Genomic DNA, 26107 nt, shown 5'->3' with positions numbered 1-26107 from the left:
GTCACTGACCCGGCTTTGCCAGCATGCCCCCTCATCATCCCAAGTGCCCCTGTGGGCTTCCTCCCACCTGCCTGCCCTGCTTCCTTTACAAGAGGCTAAGCCGACACCACGCGAGTGTGTACGCGCTGGGGACTGAGCCCCCGAAGCGAAGCCCTGTCGGAGGAGTTTCAGGCGGGAGTGGGAACGGCTGGGCGTGGGGTCAGCAACGGCGCCACCCGGTAGGGTGGGGGGAGCCAGGCTTGTCAGAGCCAGAGCGCGTCACCGTCGCCGCGAGAGACGCCGCGCTGCCCAATAGGCAGAGGCGCTCCCTAGCAGCCTGGTGGGAGCAGAGATATAAAAGTGCTCCAACAAACCCGGAGCTGGCGTGCCGACCGCGGGCTGGTGGCGGGCGGCGCGGTGCTCCGCGCGTCCGGGCTCCCTGGCTCCTCGGGACGGCCTTGTATGCTGTGCGCCCCGCACCCCGGCTGCGCGCTCCGATCCCAGCGGGAGGGGACGCCCGGCCCGCAGGCTCCCAGGGGAGGGGTGGCTCCTGCAAAATGGTCCCTCACCTCTTGCTGCTCTGTCTCCTCCCCTTGGTGCGAGCCACCGAGCCCCACGAGGGCCGGGCCGACGAGCAGAGCGCGGAGGCGGCCCTGGCCGTGCCCAATGCCTCGCACTTCTTCTCTTGGAACAACTACACCTTCTCCGACTGGCAGAACTTTGTGGGCAGGAGGCGCTACGGCGCTGAGTCCCAGAACCCCACGGTGAAAGCCCTGCTCATTGTGGCTTACTCCTTCATCATTGTCTTCTCACTCTTTGGCAACGTCCTGGTCTGTCATGTCATCTTCAAGAACCAGCGAATGCACTCGGCCACCAGCCTCTTCATCGTCAACCTGGCAGTTGCCGACATAATGATCACGCTGCTCAACACCCCCTTCACTTTGGTAAGGGGCCCGCTGCCTGCCGCCCCACCTTCTGTCTTCGTCTCCCTTTCCTCTCTCAGTTCTCTGGCCTCCCTCTGCCGTTCTGCGTCTCCCTGTGGGTCCCCACTTCTCTCTCCACATCTCTCTTCCTCCTCATTTCTCCTCTCCTCTGCCTCTGTCTTCCTGTCCTAGTCTCTTTTCTCCCTCCTCTGTCATCTCGGTTCTTGTATCTCTCCTGTTTTTCTTAGTCTTTCTTTCAGTCTCTGTCTCTCTCTCTGAAGTCTTTCTGTCTCTCTTCTCTATCTCTCAGTGTCCTCATCTTTTTTTTTTTTTTTGTCTTTCAGCCTCCCTATTCATCTGTCTCTGTCTCCTCACCTGTTATCTCTTTTTCTTCTTGTCAGTCTCTCTGTGATTTTATTTTTCTATTCTCTCTCCTCTCCTCTCCTCTCCCCACCTCTCCTCTCTTCCTCTCTCCCCTGCCTCACTCTCTGATTTCTCCCCACTTTTTTCTGTCTCATCGCCTTATCAGCCAGAGCTTCTGCGGCGGTGGCATTGGGTCAATGGTTTGAGTGTCTGCAGCCAGCTGGAAATGAATGACCATTTCCTGTTTAATCTCACTGGGTCTGGGCTTGCTTGATAATTGAGCAGTAAATCAATGCCCCTGAAATGTCAGCAGAGATGATCAGGTCCCCCTCCCTCTGAATTGCAGCCTGTTCAGTGCCCAGCCGTACCCATGGGATACTGCTTTGTGCTACAACTGAAATATCAAACAATTGCTAATTGTTAATGGAACATTAAGTGCATTTTCCCAGACCACTTATTTAAAGTGCATTTCCCTTCTGTGGGTTGATAATGAGGCTGTGTTTGAGGTCTGTGTTGAGGAAGAAATGAGGGGAGGTGGGCTTGGGCCCCAGAAATCGGGCAGGCTGGGGGCATTTGCACATTGGCAGCTGATGGGATTCTTCCCCAAGCCCTGGCTACTTAGCGCTGGTGGTGTCCCGCTGTGACCGGGGAGTGTGGCTCTCATGGATGATTTGGGACTGTAAGGGCGATGACTGAGCAACCATAGTGACAGTTATACTGCATGTTTCTCTAGTGTGTTATATTTTTTCATTTTATGGAATAACTTTGTCATTTGAGTGATTACTAAAGCAATATCTATTAATCCCTCTCTGTCTGTCTCCTTGCCATCTCTCATACACAACCAGATATAACAGACAAGCAAAAAACACAGGATGAACCCCCACAAGTCCATCACCTGTGTGAACATCCTTCCAAATCTTATATTGAAAAAGTACCCTCACATTCTCTTTCTCATCCTCACTTATTAGAATATTACTCACATTTTGCAGATGAGAAAACTAGGGCACAGAGAGGTTCAATCCCTTGTCCAAAGCCACCTGGCCAGTAGTTGGCAGAGCCAGGATGAGAATTCCATCCCCTAACTCAAATCCAGAGGTCGGTCCACTAACCAGCCAGCTGGGAGTGAAGGACACTCTTGGACCATGTTTAGCTTCTGCTACTCCAAACCCTGGACTTGTTCTGATCTCCTTTCAGCCTACGTCTAACGTATTGATGGCCACTTAATATCCCCTGGGCATTACCCAAGGATGAGTGGGCTTTCAAATACTCTCCTCCTCCCTGGGTGTCTCAAAGCACAAGACAACAGCATCCCTGTCACCCGTTGGCGCCTCCCTTGGTTTCTGACCTGAGAATCTACAGTGGTACGGTTGGGCTGTGCTACCTAGGTTGGGAACTGGGAAGCCACAGAACATGGCCTTTTTTGCTGCTGCCCAGAGCCAGGATACAGGGCTGGATCTGCAGCAGACACAAGAAGGGGTAGGGAGGCCATGGACGCGAGGACAGGCTACACCTGAGAGCTGGCAATACCTGCCCCAGAGGATCTCCTGCAAGAGACAGGATGCCAAGGTCCTCAGAGCCCAGCACCCCCTCCAGTATGAGCCAAAGCAGCTTAGCCTTGAACCTGACCCATCAAGCTGCCCCAATCCAAACTTGGATTACAGTTTATAAGGTGCTGGCAGGTAGGAAAGGGAGAAGGTTGTGGGGAGGGACTTCCAACCCCTTGGCCTTACTCAGCACAGGCTCCCCCATCGGGAAAGGCATCCCTGCCTTTGCCTGATTGGCAACAATATCCTTCTTCCCTGGTCTCCCTTCCTGTCCACTTAATCTACTGCAGTCAGCATGAAGCCTAGCTCTGATGATGGACAGAAAAGCAGACAATTACTTACAGTTCCCATGGTAGATAAAGATAGATGCACAGAGAACGTAGAGGAGGGAGTCTTTCATTCTGACCCATCAGAGTCCCACGAGAGGGTCAAAGGAGACTGCAAAGAATGTGACATTTCAACAGGACCTGACTGAATAGAAATTTCCCGGGTTGAGATGAACACTTAGTGCAGACAGAGGGACCAGGGAGAACAAAGGCATCGAAGCATCAAAGTTCACTTTGTGTTGAGGGAACATTGAGTGGCTCAATGAAGCTGGAGCATCAGGAAGCACAGCGGAGGAGTGGGCAGGGGAGGGAGAAGCGGAGGTGGCCAGAAGGAAAGGCGGGGCCAGGTTGTGAAGGGGCCTGGATACTCTGTCCTGAGAGCCAGGATGATTCCAAACAGGAGGGTGACAACAATATGATTGTGGTTAGCAGAAATGCTGTCAGGAGTGTGAAGGCTGAATTCCAAGGTGACAAACCTGGAGAACTGGGAAAGCTGTTCAGAGGCTATAATAGTCCAAGGGAGAGATAATGGGGTACCCCACAAGGCCCATGGCCTTGGGACTGAAGAAGAGGGAACAGTTTTGAAAATCAGTGAGAGGCAGAACTGGTTGGATTTGGTAATCCCAATGTGAAGGGTGAGAAGTTGGAATAGCTGAAGATTTCTAGCTCTATAATGTTACTGAACTGCTCAAAAGCCTCAATGGCTCCTCCCTGTCCTCTGCAAAGAAAGTAACATCCCTGGTCTGTTGTCCTAGTTTCAAGATCTGGCCGGACTTGACATGACTCTTGTTCACACACTCCAGACAAGCCAATCCACTCCTTATTCCCCAAACAGGTCCTGGGATTTCTGATCCAGTGCCAATGCCTTTTGTCCTCATCTCCACATGTGCAAATCCCTCTTCAGTTCAAATGTCTCATATGTTGTAATAATGGCAGTTGATAGCGTTAAGTACTTGCTATGTACTAGGCACTGTTGTACCTACTTTACATGTGTTAACAATCTTGATTGATGTAACAACCATGTGAAAAGGGTTAGCCCATTTTACAGATGAGGAAAGTGGGGCTCAGAGGGCCCAATGCCTTGCCCAAGGTCACAGTGATCAGTGGCAAACACCCTGCTGTAAGTCACTACATTATACTCCTTCTCTTGGGCCAACTTGCCCTATTTCTATGCCTCTGTGCCTCTGCCCACTCCCATCCCTATGTGGTGGCCCCATTGCCCTTTAATCAGTCTCTACAGAGCACTGATTACTTTCTGTCTTGCACTTGAGTTGAGCCCGCCTCTGCCCTGGCTGCAAACTCCTTAATCAGAATCAATGCTCAATCTCTCTCAGGCATGGGACGTTACTCACAGGAGCTGCTCAAGTACTAATTGAATGAGTAAATAGTGCTGGGTGATGTGGGATAAGGACCGGGCCTGCTTCTAGGGCCCTACACGGTTTGGGGAGCTTGTCTTCTCTCCCCACACCTGTTCATACCTCTCCAGGTCCCTGGGTGTCCTCCCCAGATGATGACTTGCAAGGCCAGTTTAGCCAAGATTTGCCAGCACAGCCCACATGCTATGTTGTGACAATTCAGATATGTCTCCCCTACTAGAGTGAACTTGTGTGGACCAAGAATGAATTTTGTTATTGCACATAAAGATAGCTACTATTTACTTCTAATAATATCTGAACAATCTGCCAGACATTGTGTTTTGCCCTTTACAGACATTTAAAAAATTTAAACCTTATACTAAGCCTATAAGGAAGAGATTTTTTAGGGCTTTTTTTTTTTTTTGCAAATGAGGAAACAGATTCAGAGAGGTTACCTATCTTGCCCAAGCCCTCACAGTAAGAAACTATTAGAGGTGGGAAGTCCAACTCCATAGCACACATCCTTCCCAGGCTCTCCTGGCACCTAATGGAGCCTGGCCCAGAAGCATGATCAGGGTTTGTTGAATTGAATGAATGAAAATGAGTTGTGCTGGAGAAAATCATGTTTACTCCACAATTCAGTATCATAGACAGAAAGAAGGGAGGAGCTGGAGGAATCCCCCTAAGGGCATGCTCCTCAGAGACCTCTAGGGATGGGTGTCAAAGTCAAGGCCTGTCTGTCTCCTAACATCTTTGGGCTCATCTCCAGGTTCGCTTTGTGAACAGCACATGGATATTTGGGAAGGGCATGTGCCATGTCAGCCGCTTTGCCCAGTACTGCTCACTGCACGTCTCAGCACTGACACTGACAGCCATTGCGGTGGATCGCCACCAGGTGAGGGCACCTACCCCTAATGCTCTGCTCTTCCCTCTCTTGCTTCCCTTTCCTGGAAGTTGCAGGGGCTCTGAAGACAGTGTTTTAGCCCAGTTTTCAATGAGTGTGTTTCTCTTCTTATTGATCAACATGAACACATAGGTTAGGGATATTAAGCCCTTTGTCATAATTTTTTTTTGAGACAGAGTTTCACTCTTGTTGCTCAGGCTGGAGTGCAGTGGCACCATCTCGACTCACTGCAACCTCCGCCTCCTGGGTTCAAGCAAATCTCCTGCCTCAGCCTCCTGAGTAGCTGGGATTACAGGTGCTCGCCACCACGCCTGGCTAGTTTTCGTACTTTTAGTAGAGATAGGGTTTTGCCATGTCGGCCAGGCTGGTCTCGAACTCCTGACCTCAGGTGATCCACCCGCCTCAGCCTCCCAAAGTGCTGGAATTACAGACGTGAGCCACCATGCCCGGCCATTGCTGGCATTTTCTGTCTCAGAAATTAGTGAGCTTGTTTGAGGATAGAAAAGCAAACCCGGAAAATCACAGATGAAAGGAGAGAGGAGTAATTGCAGGTCAGAGATGAGTGAGAGATGAATATTCACCAATTCAGGCTGTTCAGACGGAAAACAAGCCAGGATGTCCAGGTGGCAGGAGCAGGCATTGCAGTGGAGCATGGTGGCCCTGGGTCAGGAAGATGTTCTAATAGTTCTGCCCCCATGGGAAGCTCATGGGTATATATGGTGAAAGGAACTGACCAGGACATCAAAGAAGGACAGCTTCATGCCAGGTGCCTTTTCCATGCTTACTCAATGAACTCACGTTGTACGCTTAGACCTACGCTGAATTATAGAATGGAGGCTCAGGAAAGTGCATATGTAGCTTTTCCGAGATCATGTGCCTGTGAATGGTGAAGCTAGGATTAGGACTGAGGTCTGTCTGGCTCCAAGCCCATGTTCCAGTCACTAGACCATGCTGCTCTGAGAAGACTCAAAGGAATCTACAAGGCCAGTATTATGAGGGCCACCAGACACAGAAAGATGAGATTTATTCTGAGTAGCACCATGAGATGCAGCAAGGACCACGGGATAGGAGGCTTCAAAGATGCAGATTCAAAGATACAGTCCAATGTGGGAAGAATTCTCTCATAGAAGTGTCTAAAGGTGGACAAACCTGCCTGGGAGGTAATGAGTTTCATGTCACCAGCCATATTAGAGCAAAGTGAGGATGACAACTTGATGGGGAGGTATTCGAGGAGATTCCAGCATCTGGTAAGGAATGGGACTAGTCAAAATTTGAGATCTCTTTATCTCTGAAATGCCAGAATTTTGTAAGAATCAATCTTAATTTATGTTGCAGATGCTTTAGTGTAAAGTGTGAAAAGTTTGCATATAAATATTTCCTGCCTTTTCTTAACCATCTCCCTTAATTTAACTAGAAGGACTTCTGATTACTTTTACCTGGCCTATGCTTACCCCAGATTAACGCAACTGAGCATTGACCATGGGCTAAGGATGGGTCTGGGGAGTGGGGGCAAAGCCTTGCTCATGTTGACCATGTTACTGCAACATATACCCCAACAAGGGGCTCTGTCCCAAGGCCAGCAGAGTCCTTGAGAAGTGCTTGGAGCCTCTGCCCCAGGCTGCCACTCCCTTCAGCAATCTGAACACAAGAGTATGAGGGGCAGAGATGGCTGAATCCAGAAGGGAGATGTGCTGTCAGCTTCTGAAGCCTCATTGCTTCCTCCCATAAAACCTTGAAAACATTGGGAGGAATTAAAAAAAAGCTCGAGACACAGCCAGAATGTCCAGTGTGTTCTGGGATGGCATCTAGAGGTGGTGCCAGCTCTTCCTGACCTCTTCCCCCAACCCTGGACTAACCTATCCCAAATGCCTTTTTCAAAAAATAATGTTTCTCATCTGAAAATGAGGATGGTTTTAAATCCCTAAGTCTTTATTTAAACCTTTTAGGATAATTGATTGATATACAGTAGCAACTCCAAGATGCATTTCAGTCTGAAGCCTGTAACACTGACTTTATTGTAGGTGTGTGAGAGCTGGGCCCTGGTGAGATTTTAGTAATGGCTTTCATAAACATGTTGGGAGTTCCCACATAAGTGTCTGTGCAGCTTCCCAGGATGAGTGATGAGAATGGCCTCTTCCTGTCTGTCAGCTCAGACCCTCTCAGAGTCCATCATAATCTAAGGGGTCTAGAATCATGGGAAGATGAGCTCAGGTCCCAAGGAGGTGGGGGCTGACCGTGGGCTTGCTCCTCTCCCAGCCTTGCCGTGGTGCCATGCGAGCAGCCTTCCTCCTGGACCCCTCCCCAGTCCTCTCACTGGACCCTGGTTCAGCCTGAGTATGACCAGCGGGGCAGATGACCTGCCCCGGTTTTCTGAATCCAGATGACCCTTTCTTTCCTCTTCTGGAGGTGGGCTGTTGAGTGGGGCATGGCTGGGACTCCTCTCCCCCAGCAGCTACCTGATGTAGCTCAGGGGCTCAATAATGAACATAAGGGGTGCTTGACTTTATCAATAGGGCCTGCCTTATGTGACAAGTGAGCCGTGCCATCCAGATTTCTTTTTATTTATTTATGTATTTTCATTTTTTTAAATATATAGAGACAGGGTCTCACTGTGTTGCCCAGTCTGGTCTAGAACTCCTGGGCTCAAGTGATCCTTCTGCCTCAGACTCCCAAAGTGCTGGGATTACAGGAGTGAGCACCTGCGCCTGACCCAGATTTCTGATTTGCTCCAAAACGTCTTCAGTTAGTGATGTGGTTTGCTTGTTTTCCAGGTCATCATGCACCCCTTGAAACCCCGGATCTCAATCACAAAGGGTGTCATCTACATCGCTGTCATCTGGACCATGGCTACGTTCTTTTCACTCCCACATGCTATCTGCCAGAAATTATTTACCTTCAAATACAGGTGAGATGAATTCGTTGGGATCTGCCTGGGGACTTGTGTCTTCTCCTGAGTCAGGCTCCACCAAGGGATACCTGAGGCCCCCAGGAGCTCACAACTGTCTGAGTAACTAGTACCTGTCTTACTGAGTCTTTCTCTGGCTCGCTCCCATCCTGTTACCTCCTTGTCCATGCCTGTCCTCTACATTTTGTCTGCTTTCTCTCTTCTTTAGCTTCTCCCTTATTCTCTTTCCGGGTTCTCTGCAAGGACAAAGCAATAATTATCAGCATCTGTCACCAGGGTGCCGTACTTACGCAGCCTGAGATCCCAGTCACCAAGGCCTTGTTGAAAAGGAGCAAGGTGTAAACCTCTCACACTATCTACAAACAAAATCCGCATGCATGCCTGAGCCTGAGGCAGGCTTCTCTACCTCCCCCACCTACCATGTATGTTTATCATATGCTATCACTGAATGAGAACGTCTTTCTTTCAACACTCAGTTTTTTAAAACTTCAACTGGTTCATTAGGTGATCTCCCTGCTGGACTGTCAGTTTGGGAAGAATTGGCCCAGTTTCTTTGTTATCTCGGTGATCTCAACACTTAGCTTACCACCTCCACATAACAGGCTCTTGGTACATATTTACTGAATGAATGAATGATCTTAGAGTGATTTTTTTTTTTTGAGACAGAGTCTCGTTTTATTGCCCAGGCTGGAGTACAATGGCAGGATCTCAGATCACTGTAACCTCCGCCACCTGGGTTCAAGCAATTCTCCTGCCTCAGCTTCCCAAGTAGCTGGGATTACAGGCACGCACCATCATGCCTAGCTAATTTTTTGTATTTTTAGTAGAAATGGGGTTTCACCGTATTGGCCAGGCTGGTATCGAACTTCTGATCTCAGGTTATCCGCCTACCTTGGGCTCCCAAAGTGCTGAGATTACAGGCATGAGCCACCACGCCTGGCCCCATAGAGTGATTTTTGTCATTTATTGATGGTGGTGGTGGTGGTCACTGGTATGTCTTTTTAAAAAAATTTGTTTTATTATACTTTAAATTCTGGGGTACATGTACACAATGTGCAGTTTTGTGGTATACACGTGCCATGGTGGTTTGCTGCACCCATCAAACCGTCACCTACATTAGGTATTTCTCCTAATGTTGTCCCTCTGCTTGCCCCCCACCTCCTGACAGGACCCAGTGTGTGATGTTTCCCTCCCTAGGTCCATGTGTTCTCATTGTTAAACTCTCACTTATGAGTGAGAATATGTGGTGTTTGGTTTTCTGTTCTTGTGATAGTTTGCTGAGAATGATGGTTTCCAGCTTCATCCATGTCCCCGCAAAGGACATGAACTCATCCTTTTTTACGGCTGCATAGTATTCCATGGTGTATGTGTGCCACATTTTCTTTATCCAGTCTATCATTGATGGACATTTGGGTTGGTTCCAAGTCTTTGCTATTGTGAATAGTGCCGCAATAAACATATGTGTGCGTGTGTCTTTATAGTAGAATGATTTATAATTCTTTGGGTGTATACCCAATAATGGGATTGCTGGGTCAAATGGTATTTCTAGTTCTAGATACTTGAGGAATCATCACACTGTCTTCCACAATGGTTGAACTAATTTACACTCCCACCAACAGTGTAAAAGCATTCCTATTTCTCCACATCCTCTCCAGCATCAATTGTTTCCTGACTTTTTAATGATTGCCATTCTAACTGGCATGAGATTGTATCTCATTGTAATTTTGATTTGCATTTCTCTGATGACGAGTGATGACAAGCATTTTTTCAAATGTCTCTTGGCTGCATAAATGTCTTCTTCTGAGAAGTGTCTGTTCATATCCTTTGCCCACTTGTTGATGGGGTTGTTTGTTTGTTTTCTTGTAAATTTGTTTAAGTTCTTTGTAGATCCTGGGTATTAGCCCTTTGTCAGATGGATAGATTGCAAAAATTTTGTCCCATTCTGTAGGTTGCCTGTTCACTCTGATTGCTAGTTTCTTGTGCTGTGTAGAAGCTCTTTAGTTTAATTAGATCCCATTTGTCTATTTAGGCTTTTGTTGCCATTGCTTTTGGTATTTTAGACATGAAGTCTTTGCCCATGCCTACGTCCTGAATGGTATCCAGGCTTTCTTCTAGGATTTTTATGATTCTAGGTCTTAGTTTAAGTCTTTGATCCATCTTGAGTTGATTTTTGTATAAGGTGTAAAGAGGGGGTCCAGTTTCAGTTTTCTACATATGGCTAGCCAGTTTTTCCAACAACATTTATTGAATAGGGACTCTTTCCCTCATTGTGTGTTTGTGTCAGGTGTGTCAAAAATCAGATGGTTGTAGATGTGTGGTGTTATTTCTGAGGGCTCTGTTCCATTCCATTGGTCTATATCTCTGTTTTGGTACCAGCAACATGCTGTTTTGGTTACTGTAGCCTTGTAGTATAGTTTGAAGTCAGGTAGCGTGATGCCTCTAGCTTTGTTCTTCTTGCCCAGGAATGTCTTGGCAATGCGGGCTCTTTTTTGGTTCCATACGAATTTTAAAGTAGTTTTTTCCAATTCTGTGAAGAAACTCAGTGGTAGCTTGATGGGGATAGCATTGAACCTATAAATTACTTTGAGCAGTATGGCCATTTTCATGATATTGATTCTTCCTATCCATGAGCATGGAATGTTTTTCCATTTGTTTGTGTCTTCTGTTATTTTGTTGAGCAGTGGTTTGTAGTTCTCCTTGAAGAGGTCCTTCACATCTCTTGTAAGTTGTATTCCTAGGCATTTTATTCTCTTAGTAGCAATTGTGAGTGGGAGTTCACTCATGATTTGGCTCTCTGTTTGTCTGTTATTGGTGTATAGGAATGGTCGTGATTTTTGCACATTGATTTAGTATTCTGAGATTTTCCTGAAGTTGCTTATCAGCTTAAGGAGATTTTGGGCTGAGACAATGGGGTTTTCTAAATACACAATCATGTCATCTGCAAACAGAGACAATTTGACTTCCTCTCTTCCCATTTGAATATCCTTTCTTTCTTTCTCCTGCCTGATTGCCCTGGCCAAAACTTCCAATACTACGTTGAATAGGAGTGGTGAGAGACGGCATCCTTATTTTATGCCAGTTTTCAAAGGGAATGCTTCCAGTTTTTGTTCACTCATTATGATATTGGCTATGGGTTTGTCATAAATCTTTCTTTTTTTTTTCTTTTTTATATTTTAAGTTTTAGGGTAGGTGTGCACAATGTGCAGGTTTGTTACATGTGTATACATGTGCCATGTTGGTGTGCTGCACCCATTAACTCATCATTTACATTAGGTATATCTCCTAATGCTGTTCCTCCCACCTCCCCCCACCCCACAACAGTCCCCAGTGTGTGATATTCCCCTTCCTGTGTCCAAGTGTTCTCATTGTTCAATTCCCACCTATGAGTGAGAACATGCGGTGTTTGGTTTTTTGTCCTTGTGATAGTTTGCTGAGAATGATGGTTTCAAGCTTAATCCATGTCCCCACAAAGGACATGAACTCATTATTTTTTATGGCTGCATAGTATTCCATGGTGTATATGTGCCACATTTTCTTAATCCAGTCTATCATTGTTGGACATTTGGGTTGGCTCCAAGTCTTTGCTATTGTGAATAGTGCCGCAATAATCATACGTCTGCATGTGTCTTTATAGCAGCAGGATTTATAATCCTTCGGGTATATACCCAGTAATGGGATGGCTGGGTCAAATGGTATTTCTAGTTCTAGATCCCTGAGGAATCGCCACACTGACTTCCACAGTGGTTGAACTAGTTTACAGTCCCACCAACAGTGTCAAAGTATTCCTATTTCTCCACAGCCTCTCCAGCACCTGTTGTTTCCTGACTTTTTAATGATTGCCATTCTAACTGGTGTGAGATGGTATCTCATTGTGGTTTTGATTTGCATTTCTCTGATGGCCAGTGATAATGAGCATTTTTTCATGTGTCTGTTGGCTGCATAAATGTCTTCTTTTGAGAAGTGTTGGTTCATATCCTTCGCCCACTTGTTGATGGGGTTGATTTTTCTTGTAAATTTGTTTGAGTTCTTTGTAGATTCTGGATATCAGCCCTTTGTCAGATGAGTAGATTGCAAAAATTTTCTCCCATTCTGTAAGTTGCCTGTTCACTCTGATGGTAGTTTCTTTTGCTCTGCAGAAGCTCTTTAGTTTAATTAGATCCCATTTGTCAATTTTGGCTTTTGTTGCCGTTGCTTTTGGTGTTTTAGACATGAAGTCCTTGCCCATGCCTGTGTCCTGAATGGTATTGCCTAGGTTTTCTTCTAGGGTTTTTATGGTTTTAGGTCTAACATTTAAGTCTTTAATCCATCTTGAATTAATTTTTGTGTAAGGTGTAAGGAAGGGATCCAGTTTCAGCTTTCTACATATGGCTAGCCAATTTTCCCAGCACCATTTATTAAATAGGGAATCCTTTCCCCATTTCTTGTTTTTGTCAGGTTTGTCAAGGACCAGATAGTTGTAGATACGTGGCATTATTTCTGAGGGCTCTGTTCTGTTCCATTGGTTTATATCTCTGTTTTGGTACCAGTACCATGCTGTTTTGGTTACTGTAGCCTTGTAGTATAGTTTGAAGTCAGGTAGCATGATGCCTCCAGCTTTGTTCTTTTGCCTTAGGATTGACTTGGCAATGTGGGCTCTTTTTTGGTTCCATATGAACTTTAAAGTAGTTTTCTCCAATTCTGTGAAGAAAGTCACTGGTAGCTTGATGGGGATGGCATTGAATCTATAAATTACCTTGGGCAGTATGGCCATTTTCACAATACTGATTCTTCCTACCCACGAGCATGGAATATTCTTCCATTTGTTTGTATCCTCTTTTATTTCCTTGAGCAGTGGTTTGTAGTTCTCCTTGAAGAGGTCCTTCACATCCCTTGTAAGTTGGATTCCTAGGTATTTTATTGTCTTTGAAGCAATTGTGAATGGGAGTTCACTCATGATTTGGCTCTCTGTTTGTCTGTTATTGGTGTATAAGAATGCTTGTGATTTTTGCACATTGATTTTATATCCTGAGACTTTGCTGAAGTTGCTTATCAGCTTAAGGAGATTTTGGGCTGAGATGATGGGGTTTTCTAGATATACGATCATGTCATCTGCAAACAGGGACAATTTGACTTCCTCTTTTCCTAACAGAATACCCTTTATTTCCTTCTCCTGCCTGATTGCCCTGGCCAGAACTTCCAACACTGTGTTGAATAGGAGTGGTGAGAGAGGGCATGCCTGTCTTGTGCCAGTTTTCAAAGGGAATGCTTCCAGTTTTTGCCCATTCAGAATGATATTGGCTGTGGGTTTGTCATAGATAGCTCTTATTATTTTGAGATACGTCCCATCAATACCTAATTTACTGAGTTTTTAGCATGAAGGGCTGTTGAATTTTGTCAAAGGCCTTTTCTGCATCTATTGAGATAATCGTGTGGTTTTTGTCATTGGTTCTGTTTATATGCTGGATTACGTTTATTGATTTGTATATGTTGAACCAGCCTTGCATCCCAGGGATGAAGCCCACTTGATCATGGTGGATAAGCTTTTTGATGTGTTGCTGGATTCGGTTTGCCAGTATTGTATTGAGGATTTTTGCATTGATGTTCGTCTGGGATATTGGTCTAAAATTCTTTTTGTTGTGTCTCTGCCAGGCTTTGGTATCAGGACGATGCTGGCCTCATAAAATGAGTTAGGGAGGATTCCCTCTTTTTCTATTGATTGGAATAGTTTCAGAAGGAATGGTACCAGCTCCTCCTTGTACCTCTGGTAGAAATCGGCTGTGAATCCGTCTGGTCCTGGACTTTTTTTGGTTGGTAGGCTATTAATTATTGCCTCCATTTCAGAGCCTGTTATTGGTCTATTCAGAGATTCAACTTCTTCCTGGTTTAGTCTTGGGAGGGTGTATGTGTCGAGGAAATTATCCATTTCTTCCAGATTTTCTAGTTTATTTGCATAGAGGTGTTTATAGTATTCTCTGATGGTAGTTTGTATTTCTGTGGGATTAGTGGTGATATCTGCTTTATCATTTTTTATTGCATCTATTTGATTCTTCTCTCTTTTCTTCTTTATTAGTCTTGCTAGCGGTCTATCAATTTTGTTGATCTTTTCAAAAAACCAGCTCCTGGATTCATTGATTTTTTGAAGAGTTTTCTGTGTCTCTATCTCCTTCAGTTCTGCTCTGATGTTAGTTATTTCTTGCCTTCTGCTAGCTTTTGAATGTGTTTGCTCTTGCTTCTCTTGTTCTTTTAATTGTGATGTTAGGGTGTCAATTTTAGATCTTTCCTGGTTTCCCTTGTGGGCATTTAGTGCTATAAATTTCCCCCTACACACTGTTTTAAATGTGTCCCAGAGATTGTGGTATGTTGTGTCTTTGTTCTCTTTGGTTTCAGAGAACATCTTTATTTCTGCCTTCATTTCATTATGTACCCAGTAGTCATTCAGGAGCAGGTTGTTCAATTTCCATGTAGTTGAGCGGTTTTGAGTGAGTTTCTTAATCCTGAGATCTAGTTTGATTGCTCTGTGTTCTGGGAGAGAGTTTGTTATAATTTCTGTTCTTTTACATTTGCTGAGGAGTGCTTTACTTCCAACTATGTGGTCAATTTTGGAATAAGTGCACTGTGGTGCTGAGAAGAATGTGTAATCTGTTGATTTGGGGTGGAGAGTTCTGTAGATGTCTATTAGGTCCACTTGGTGCAGAGCTGAGTTCAATTACTGGATGTCCTTGTTAACTTTCTGTCTCATTGATCTGTGTAATGTTGACAATGTGGTGTTAAAGTCTCCCATTATTATTGTGTGGGAGTCTAAGTCTCTTTGTAGGTCTCTAAGGACTTGCTTTATGAATCTGGGTGCTCCTGTATTGGGTGCATATATATTTAGGATAGTTAGCTCTTCTTTTTGAATTGATCCCTTTACCATTATGTAATGGCCTTTGGTTTAAAGTCTGTTTTATCAGAGACTAGGATTGCAACCCCTGCGTTTTTTTGTTTTCCATTTGCTTGGTAGATCTTTCTCCATCCCTTTATTTTGAGCCCATATGTGTCTCTGCACATGAGATGGGTTTCCTGAATACAGCACACTGATGGGACTTGACTCTTTATCCAATTTGCCAGGCTGTGTCTTTTAATTGGAGCATTTAGCCCATTTACATTTAAGGTTAATATTATTATGTGTGAATTTGATCCTGTCATTATGATGTTAGCTGGCTATTTTGCTCATTAGTTGGTGCAGTTTCTTCCTAGCCTCAATGGTCTTTACAATTTGGCATGTTTTTGCATTGGCTGGTACCAGTTGTTCCTTTCCATGTTTAGTGCTTCCTTCAGGAGCTCTTGTAGGGCAGGCCTGGTGGTGACAGAGTCTCTCAGCATTTGCTTATCTGTAACGTAATTTATTTCTCCTTCACTTATGAAGCTTAGTTTGGCTGGATATGAAATTTTGGGTTGAAAATTCTTTTCTTTAAGAGTGTTGAATATTGGCCCCCACTCTCTTCTGGCTTGTAGGGTTTCTGCCAAGAGATCCACTGTTAGTCTGATGGGCTTCCCTTTGTGGGTAACCCGACCTTTCTCTCTGACTGCCCTTAACATTTTTTCCTTCGTTTCAACTTCAGTGAATCTGACAATTATGTGTCTTGGAGTTGCTCTTCTTGAGCAGTACTTTTGTGGCATTCTCTGTATTTCCTGAATTTGAATGTTGGCCTGCCTTGCTAGATTGGGGAATTTCTCCTGGATAATATCCTGCAGAGTGTTTTCCAACTTGGTTCCATTCTCCCCGTCACTTTCAGATACACCAATCAGACATAGATTTGGTCTTTTCGCATAGTCCCATATTTCTTGGAGGCTTTGTTCATTTCTTTTTATTCATTTTTCTCTAAACTTCTCTTCTCGCTTCATTTCATTCATTTGATCTTCCATCACTGATACCCTTTCTTCCAGTTGATCACATTGGTTACTGAGGCTTGTGCATTCATCACGTAGTTCTTGTGCCATGGTTTTCAGCTCCATCAGGTCCTTTAAGGACTTCTCAGCATTGGTTATTCTAGTTAGCCATTAGTCTAATCTTTTTTCAAGGTTTTTAACTTCTTTGCCGTGGGTTCGAACTTCCTCCTTTAGCTTGGAGAAGTTTGATCGTCTGAAGCCTTCTTCTCTCAGCTCATCAAAGTCATTCTCCGTCCAGCTTTTTTCCATTGCTGGTGAGGAGCTATGTTCCTTTGGAGGAGGAGAGGTGCTCTGATTTTTAGAATTTTCAGTTTTTCTCCTCTGTTTTTTCCCCATCTTTGTGGTTTTATCTATCTTTGGTCTTTGATGATGGTGACGTACAGATGGGGTTTTGGTGTGGATGTCCTTTCTGTTTGTTAGTTTTCCTTCTAACAGTCGGGACCCTCAGCTTCAGGTCTGTTGGAGTTTGCCGGAGGTCCACTTCAGACCCTGTTTGCCTGGGTATCAGCAGCAGAGGCTGCAGAACAGCAAATATTGGTGAACAGCAAATGTTGCTGCCTGATCAGTTCCTCTGGAAGTTTTGTCTCAGAGGAGTACCTGGCCATGTGAGATGTCAGTCTGCCCCTCCTGGGGGTTGCCTCCCAGGTAGACTACTCGGGGGTCAAGGACCCACTTGAGGACAGTCTATCCGTTCTCAGATCTCAAGCTGCATGCTGGGAGAACCACTACTGTCTTCCAAGCTGTCAGACAGGGACATTTAAATCTGCAGAGGTTTCTACTGCCTTTTGTTTGGCTATTCCCTGTCCCCAGAGGTGGAGTCTACAGAGGGAGGCAGGCCTCCTTGAGCTGCAGTGGGCTCCACCCAATTCAAGCTTCCTGGCCGCTTTGTTTACCTACTCAAGCCTCAGCAATGGCGGACGCTCCTCCCCCAGCCTCGCTGCCGCTGACCTGATTTTCCAGGTGCCGTCTGTCACCCCTTTCCTTGGCTAGGAAAGGGAATTCCCTGACCCCTTGCACTTCCCAGGTGAGGCGATGCCTTGCCCTGCTTCGGCTCATGCTTTGTGTGCTGCACCCACTGTCCTGCACCCACTGTCCGACAATCCCCAGTGAGATGAACCCGGTACCTCTCTTGGAAATGCAGAAATCATTTGTCTTCTGCGTCGCTCACACTGGGAGCTGTAGACTGGAGCTGTTCCTATTCGGCCATCTTGGAACCACCCCATAAATAGTTCTTATTACTTTGAGATATGTTCCATCGATACCCAGTTTATTGAGAGTTTGTAGCATGAAAGGGTGCTGAATTTTGTTGAAGGCCTTTTCTACATCTATTGAGATAATTGTGGTTTTTGTCATTGGTTCTGTTTGTGTGATACATTGTATTTATTGATTTGCATATGTTGAACCAGCCTTGCATCCCAGGGATGAAGCCAACTTGATCACGGTGGATAAGCTTTTTGATGTGCTACTGGATTCAGTTTGCCAGTATTTTATTGAGGATTTTCGCATTCATGTTCCTCAGGGATGTTGGCCTGTAATTTTCTTTTTTTTTGTTGTGTCTCTGCCAGGTTTTGGTATCAGCGTGATGCTGGCCTAATAAAATGAGTTAAGGAGGATTCCTTCTTTTTCTATTGTTTGGAATAGTTTCAGAAGGAATGGTACCAGCTCCTGTTTGTACCTCTGGTAGAATCTGGCTGTGAATCTGTCTGGTCCTGGACTTTTTTTGGTTGGTAGGCTATTAATTACTGCCTCAATTTCAGAACTTGTTAGTGGTTTATTCAGGGATTTGACTTCTTCCTGATTTAGACTTGGGAAGATGTATGTGTCCAGGAATTATCCATTTCTTCTAGATTTTCTAGTTTATTTGTGTAAAGGTGTTTATAGTATTCTGTGATCGGAGTTTGTATTTCTGTGGGATCAGTGGTGATATCCCCTTTATCATTTTTTATTGCATCTATTCGATTCTTCTCTCTTTTCTTCTTTATTAGTCTTCTAGTGGTCTATCAAGTTTGTTGATCTTTTCAAAAAACCAGCTCCTGGTTTCACTGATTTTTTTGAAGGGTTTTTTGTCTCTATCTCCATCAGTTCTGCTCTGATCTTTGTTATTTCTTGCCTTCTGCTAGCTTTTGAATTTGTTTGCTGTTGCTTCTTGAGTTCTTTTAATTTTGATGTTAAGGTGTCAATTTTAGATCTTTCCTGCTTTCTCTTGTGGGCACTTAGTGCTATAAATTTCCCTCTACACACTGCTTTAAATGTGTCCCAGAGATTCTGGTACGTTGTGTCTTCATTCTTCTTGGTTGCAAAGAGCTTCTTTATTTCTACCTTCATATCGTTATTTACTCAGTAGGCATTTCGTAGCTGGTTGTTCAGTTTCCATGTAGTTGTGTGGTTTTGAGTGAGTTTCTTTTTTTTTTTTTCTTTTTTTGTTTGAGACGGAGTCTCACTCTGTCGCCCAGGCTGGAGTGCAGTGGCATGATCTCAGCTCACTGCAAGCTCCACCTCTCCTCCCTCAGCCTCCCGAGTAGCTGGGACTACAGGTGCCCGCTACCAAGCCTGGCTAATTTTTTTTTTGTATTTTTAGTAGAGACAGGGTTTCACTGTGTTAGCCGGGATGGTCTCAAGCTCCTGACCTCATGATCCGCCCGCCTTGGCCTCCGAAAGTGCTGGGATTACAGGCATGAGCCACCGTGCCCGGCCTTGAGTGAGTTTCTTAATCCTGAGTTCTAGTTTGATTGCACTGTGCTCTGAGAGACTGTTATGATTTCTGTTCTTTTGCATTTGCTAAGGAGTGTTTTATTTCCAATTACGTGGTCAATTTTAGAATAAGTGTGATGAGGTACTGAGAAGAATGTATATTCTGTTGATTTGGGGTGGAGAGTTCTGTAGATGTCTATTAGGTCCATTTGGTCGAGAGCTGAGTTCAAGTGCTGAATATCCTTGTTAATTTTCTGTCTCATTGATCTGTCTAATATTGACAGTGGGGTGGTGAAGTCTCCCACTATTATTGTGTGAGAGTCTGAGTCTCTTTGTAGGTCTCTGAGAACTTACTTTATGAATCTGGGTGCTCCTGTATTGGGTGCATATATATTTAGGATAGTTAGCTTTTCTTGCTGCATTGATCCCTTTACCATTATGTAATGCCCTTCTCTGTCTCCTTTGATATTTGTTGGCTTAAAGTCTGTTTTATCAGAGATTAGGATTGTAACTCCTGCTTTTTTTTTTTTTTTTTTTTTTTTGAGATGGTGTTTCACTCTTGTTGCCCATGCTGGAGTGCAATGGCACAATCTCAGCTCACCGCAACCTCTGCCTCCTGGGTTCTCCTGCCTCAGCCTCCCGAGTAGCTGGGATTATAGGCATGTGCCACCATGCCCAGCTAATTTTGTATTTTTAGTAGAAACACGGTTTCTCCATGTTGGTCAGGCTGGTCTGGAACTCCTGACCTCAGGTGATCCGCCCATCTCGGCCTCACAAAGTGCTGGGATTACAGGCATGAGCCACCGTGCTGGGCCTCATTTGTTGTGTTAGATGAGCTTCCTTAGAGACAGGTTTTGTGATAAAGGCAGGTACACCTACAAGTGGCTAATTGAGGCAGTGCTCCCAGGAGCAATGGGAAAGAGAGTGGCAGAGGCTGGACAGAGACCAGGGAGAGACTAAGGAAGGGTATGATTTCAGGGGAAGCTGCCCCTGCCCCACAGGAGGCTCTGGGGCAGACTGAAAATGCAGAGTTTGCCTCACCTTGAGGCCAGGTAACTGGGCTTTCCTATTTCTCCGTCTCTCAGTCTTTTATTACAGGTCTTTCCTAGGAAAATTGGAAACTCCCGACCAATTATGGCTGTAGTGAATCGTGGGAAGGGCCTTGAGTGGCCTTAGGGGAGTCCTAGGCACCTAGAAGATCACAGGTGCCAGCTGTTTCTTCCTGGGGGGTTGGTTCTCCAGACTGCAGGGATCCAGGGAGTGTCTGCCACAGGAGCCATGTGCCACCCCACCTGCAGCACGCGCGCACACACACACACACACACACTCACTCACTCCTGTGACAAAAGCAGGGTCAAGAGAAACAGGCTCGGAAGGCAGATTTCAACTAACTTATAAAGGCCCCCTCCAGGAATTCTAGGACATTGAAATGAATCACTCACCCAGGCCCCCCAACATCCAGGCTGCCCTTCTACCTTTCCACACGGAGGACTTTTTTTCCCCCCTAAAAAAAGCAAAGGAAGTTTCCTCTCTCTTTTGTTAGTGATGACCACCAGGACATAGAACTAGAGCACCAAGCCACATGGATATTCCTAAAAAGGCTGAAGAGGACTGGGGTGCATTCCATATCAAATAAATACTTGTTCTATGAGTGGCTGAAGGGATGTTAGTTCAGGCTTTACCACTCATATGCTCAAGATCCATCATTTCTTTTCTTTATGCCTTAGTTTTCCCTTTAAAATGGGGAAGTAGCAGAATGGGAAATTCTAGGATTTCCTCAAGGATGAGTTAGTTTTCAACCTGGAAACATGAGCATTTCATTCATTTATTCAACAAATATGTATTGGGTCTCTACTGTGGGCTAGGAATTGCACAAGATTAAGAGAACACAGAGAAATTCAGGTGTATTATTTACCTCTATGCAATTCCCAGCCTAGTGGGGGAGGTAGAAATGTAATCAGATAATTAGGCTACAGCATCAAAAGTGCCATATTAGATGGATGTACCAGGAGCCCAGTGGAAGGAGAGGCCAGTGCTTCTTGGGATGAAGCCTTTCCACACTAATATCTCCTTTCTGTTACCTCTCTCCCCCTCCCCACTTCCTGCCCCCAGTGAGGACATTGTGCGCTCCCTCTGCCTGCCAGACTTCCCTGAGCCAGCTGACCTCTTCTGGAAGTACCTGGACTTGGCCACCTTCATCCTGCTCTACATCCTGCCCCTCCTCATCATCTCTGTGGCCTACGCTCGTGTGGCCAAGAAACTGTGGCTGTGTAATATGATTGGCGATGTGACCACAGAGCAGTACTTTGCCCTGCGGCGCAAAAAGAAGAAGACCATCAAGATGTTGATGCTGGTGGTAGTCCTCTTTGCCCTCTGCTGGTTCCCCCTCAACTGCTACGTCCTCCTCCTGTCCAGCAAGGTCATCCGCACCAACAATGCCCTCTACTTTGCCTTCCACTGGTTTGCCATGAGCAGCACCTGCTATAACCCCTTCATATACTGCTGGCTGAACGAGAACTTCAGGATTGAGCTAAAGGCATTACTGAGCATGTGTCAAAGACCTCCCAAGCCTCAGGAGGACAGGCCACCCTCCCCAGTTCCTTCCTTCAGGGTGGCCTGGACAGAGAAGAATGATGGCCAGAGGGCTCCCCTTGCCAATAACCTCCTGCCCACCTCCCAACTCCAGTCTGGGAAGACAGACCTGTCATCTGTGGAACCCATTGTGACGATGAGTTAGAAGAGGTTGGGAAGAGGGAGTGGGAGGGGTCTGTCTCCACCTGAGGCAGGGAAAGAGAGCCTATTCTCACACATGATCTTCAGAGTGCTGGAAACACACTCCTGCAGAAGCTGTAGGACTCTTGAATTCCTAGGAAACTGTCCAGCCTCCTAGCCCCATGTGATGTGAAAACTAAAAGGCACCACCAACTAGACATGTGTTCATAAATTCCCATCTAAGAAACACTGGGAGGCACAGCAGCCTGTATCTCTGAGGAAGAGGAGCGAGGACAACGTTGGCCCAGATGGGGGCTGAATCATTCAACTGCCTCCATCTGTGGGGCAGCTGCTGCCTTACAGCCCTTCCTACTGCTGAGCATCCCTAAGGGAGACCTAAATCATACTTTGGGTGTGGTGACCCAGATGCACAGAGCTCTGCTTGAAACAGGTACACGGGCCAGGGAAATGCCAGCAAGCCAGAGCGGGCGTGGAGATTTTTATGCCTCACTTTCTGGAGTCACTGGGCCATGATGAATCATAAGTCTTCAGTGGCCTAGCAATATCCAGATAAGAAAGGACCAACTTGGGTTCCTTAAAACAAAGGGAAATTATTATTGCCACTTAGAAAAATTCAGAAAAGCACACACTCACATACACACACACAAAATCACTCTCTTATCCCATCCATTTGTGATAACATCTGTGAACATGCTGTGGCTCTATTTGCAACATTTTCCTTCGTGTGTGTGATTGTGTGCATGTGTGCATGACCTTTTTTTTTTCTTTTTTTTTTTTTTTTTGAGATGGAATCTCGCTCTGTCACCCAGGTTGGAGTTCAGTGGCACAATCTCGGCTCACTGCAAGCTCTGCCTCCCAGGTTCATGCCGTTCTCCTGCCTCAGCCTCCCTAGTAGCTGGGACTACAGGTGCCCGCCACCATGCCCGGCTAATCTTTTGCATTTTTAGTAGAGACGGGGTTTCACCGTGTTAGCCAGGATGGTCTCGATCTCCTGACCTCGTGATCCACCTGCCTAGGCCTCCCAAAGTGTTGGGATTACAGGCGTGAGCCACCCCGCCCGGCCCTTTTTTTTCATTTATACTTTTTCATTTAGATTGTAATGATTAACAGAAACAGGGGTACCTTTCCCAGGGGTGTCCACCAGAAGAGTTGAAGAAGAGGTGAGAAGATCCCAAGGTGAAGCCTGTCACCACGCAGACAGAACTGCCCCCTATTGTAGACAGTGGTGGGAAGGGCCTGGCTCACATGCCCCTCCTTAGAGGCAGCCTCAAGATGAACCAGGGAATCAAACTCAACCAGGAGGCATGATTCCTTCTCTCCTGCAATTGCACAAAAACAAGTGGTGGTGAAACATTGTTCTGTTTTCACAAGAGATGAGGGAGCAGGCTTTCCAATATGCTGGAAGTAATTGTGCTTAGACACCTCATCCTCCCAAGCTGTCTAGAAAGGCCATTTCGCTGTGTTGTCTAAATAATGAGGGTTTTTTCACACCATTTCTCAAAAGGAGATTCGCTGTCAACATCATTTTGGTGGTTCAGGTGTAACTTTCACTTACAGAAACTTATGCATCCTTAAGAGATCTCAATTCTTAAGGGTCTAACTTGCCAGAGAAATCTCATTCCAGGGACTGATTGTTTTTATCACCTTCTGTCTGGTCCTGAGTGACTCACTGTGTCACCCAGAAAAGAGACCTGTCAGGCAGAATCGAGCTTAATTCACCTGCTCTAAACAATTGTTACTGACACACTGCTTTTAGGTTTTCTTCTAGCACCAGATAAACTCTGAAATCAAAGCATGGATATGAGCTCAGTAGGAAACTAAGGTTTGAGGGAGAAAGAGTTTGTCACTTAGACCTCTTGGCTGTTAACTGAAACTGAACTTGCTCACATCATCTGCTTCCCTGTAATGAACTATGAGGGTTCTTTATCCTAGTTTCTATTTATGAAGATGGTTGAAAATTTTCAAGACACAAGATTTTGAAAACTCACTGAATTATGGGCAAAACCATGACTTTCATTGGGCAGACAGAGTCTTCTAAGCCCACAGGGATCCCCAGATGGATTTTTCAGGACAAATGGCTCATGTGCCTGTACTTATTGTCTCTGTGGTGTGTCAAGAAGTAGCTAATGGTTTCATCTGAAAGCTGCCATAGAAATTCTGTGAACCAGAATGAGACAAGGCAGCAGGCATACAGAAGGTTTGTCCTGCTCTGGGAAGCATGGAGGATGTTGTACTTCACTCCTCTCTGAGGGTGTCTAGGAATACAGAAGCTCCTTGACTTACATCTCAATAAACCCATCGTAAGTCCAAAATATTGGAAGTTGAAAATGCATTGAATACACCCAACCTACTGAACATCGTAGCTTAGCCAAGCCTACCTTAAATGCTCTGAGAACACTTATATTAGCCTACAGCTGGGAAAAATCATTTAACACAAAGCCTATCTTCTAATGAAGTATGGAATATCTCATGTAATTTATTGAATACTGTACTGAAGGTGAAAACCAGAATGGTTGTATGGATATGCGAAGTATGGTTTCTACTGAATGTGTATTGCTTTCCCATCATCATAAAATTTTTAAAAATCCTAAGTTGAATCATTGTTAGTCCGGGACCTTCAGTACTGCCAAGTCCCAGAGAAAACCCTTTTACTCTGGGGAGAACCCACTGATGGCTCATTAGATCTGTCCCTTCCCCGAGGTCCGTGTGTGACTTTGAGCAAAAAGTGACTTCTTTTTGTGAATGTAAAATTTGTGAAACTTGAGTTTTTCCAATGTGCTGTAAAGTGTTTTATTGTAAATTGCTCATCTCAATAAAATTTACTTCAGGTTTGTGGACTGTGCCTCTTGGATTTGCAATTATGTCACAACTGGTAACCTTTAAAACGGGGTCAGCAGGGATTAGAGGAAGGGAGCATGAAGAGTATCGACTCAATCCTGCATTTTACAGATGCTGAGATTCAAGCCCTGAGAAATTAAATAGCCAGTTGAGGAACCTCTGCCTCTTTGTCTAGTGTTTCTTCCATTGATCAGCTGCCCAAGTTCCCTCTTTTGTATTTACAATCTGTGCTGCATGTTTTAACCTGGGACTCCATCTGTTCCTCAGTGACTCAGGATGAGGCAAAGCTGCCACTCAAGCCTTGAGAGCAATTCTCCCATTTGGCAGTGTGCAGTGCACACCACATTCCCTGTGTTTACCATTCTGCCACTGTAGCCTGGGGTCCTACTATCCTACCAGGTAAGCTGGGTAAGCCTTCATTACATACATAATTACCTGATGCCATTCAGAGTTCAGAAAATTAGTTTCAAACAATTTCACAGAAGGTTGTAAATAGGGGTAATTTGCTAAGCCTAGAGGAAAATTTGAAAGAAAAATGAAAGGTGTAGGCGAAGGAGAGGAACTAAGAATTTGTTACCACCGTCTATGTGCAGTATTGCGTTAAATGCCTCAGAGCTCATTATCTCACTGACCTTCACAGCAGTCCTCCAAGGTGGGCATTATTATTGCAGATGAGGAAACAGAGGCTCAGCCAACTTAGGCAGCCTGCTAAAGGTCATGCACAGCTAAACTGGGAAAAGGCTATCCTTTTGGAGATTAGGTTCTGAGAAGGTATGTAGAATAGAATCTTATTTTATTTTATTATTATTATACTTTAAGTTTTAGGGTACATGTGCACAACGTGCAGGTTTGTTACATATGTTTACATGTGCCATGTTGGTGTGCTGCATCCATTAACTTGTCATTTAGCATTAGGTATATCTCCTAATGCTATCCCTCCCCCCTCCTCCCACCCCACAACCGTCCCCAGTGTGTGATGTTCCCCTTCCTGTGTCCATGTGTTCTCATTGTTCAATTCCCACCTATGAGTGAGAACATGCGGTATTTGGTTTTTTGTCCTTGTGATAGTTTGCTGAGAATGATGGCTTCCAGCTTCATCCATGTCCCTACAAAGGACATGAACTCATCATTTTTTATGGCTGCATAGTATTCCATGGTGTATATGTGCCACATTTTCTTAATCCAGTCTATCATTGTTGGACATTTGGGTTGGTTCCAAGTCTTTGCTATTGTGAATAGTGCCGCAATAAACATACGTGTGCATGTGTCTTCATAGCAGCATGATTTATAGTCCTTTGGGTATGTACCCAGTAATGGGATGGCTGGGTCAAATGGTATTTCTAGTTCTAGATCCCTGAGGAATCACCACACTGACTTCCACAATGGTTGAACTAGTTTACAGTCCCACCAACAGTGTAAAAGTGTTCCTATTTCTCCACATCCTCTCCAGTACTTGTTGTTTCCTGACTTTTTAATGATCGCCATTCTAACTGGTGTGAGATGCTATCTCATTGTGGTTTTGATTTGCATTTCTCTGATGGGCAGTGATGATGAGCATTTTTTCATGTGTTTTTTGGCTGCATAAATGTCTTCTTTTGAGAAGTGTCTGTTCATGTCCTTCGCCCACTTTTTGATGGG

The 26107-nt window shown here is 45.1% G+C and overlaps 1 protein-coding gene across 2 annotated transcripts, besides 1 other annotated feature; it reads left to right on the top strand.

The window, feature by feature from the left end:
* The first annotated feature begins 364 nt into the window (after positions 1 to 364).
* Positions 365 to 24468, top strand: GPR83 (G protein-coupled receptor 83). 2 transcript variants are annotated; one of them, NM_016540.4, is made up of 4 exons: positions 365 to 923; positions 5260 to 5385; positions 8166 to 8299; positions 21011 to 24468. In NM_016540.4, exons 1-4 carry the CDS (start codon positions 537 to 539, stop codon positions 21633 to 21635), a joined length of 1272 nt encoding a protein of 423 aa, NP_057624.3. In that variant the 5' UTR covers positions 365 to 536; the 3' UTR covers positions 21636 to 24468. The 2 variants fall into 2 exon arrangements, with proteins under 2 accessions (NP_057624.3, NP_001317274.1); NM_001330345.2 differs by lacking the exon at positions 5260 to 5385.
* Positions 21303 to 21500: a silencer, noted in NCBI's record as "fragment chr11:94113450-94113647 (GRCh37/hg19 assembly coordinates)". NCBI's record gives its function as "represses an EF-1alpha promoter that drives an FKBP-Casp9 reporter gene in an ReSE screen in HepG2 liver carcinoma cells {active_cell/tissue: HepG2}" and the evidence as "EXISTENCE:reporter gene assay evidence [ECO:0000049][PMID:32094911]".
* Positions 24469 to 26107: the final 1639 nt, after the last annotated feature.

This window comes from Homo sapiens, chromosome 11 (genome assembly GCF_000001405.40).
Source record: "Homo sapiens chromosome 11, GRCh38.p14 Primary Assembly".
NCBI lineage: Eukaryota > Metazoa > Chordata > Mammalia > Primates > Hominidae > Homo > Homo sapiens.
This window is presented reverse-complemented; position numbering and strand designations above follow the sequence as displayed.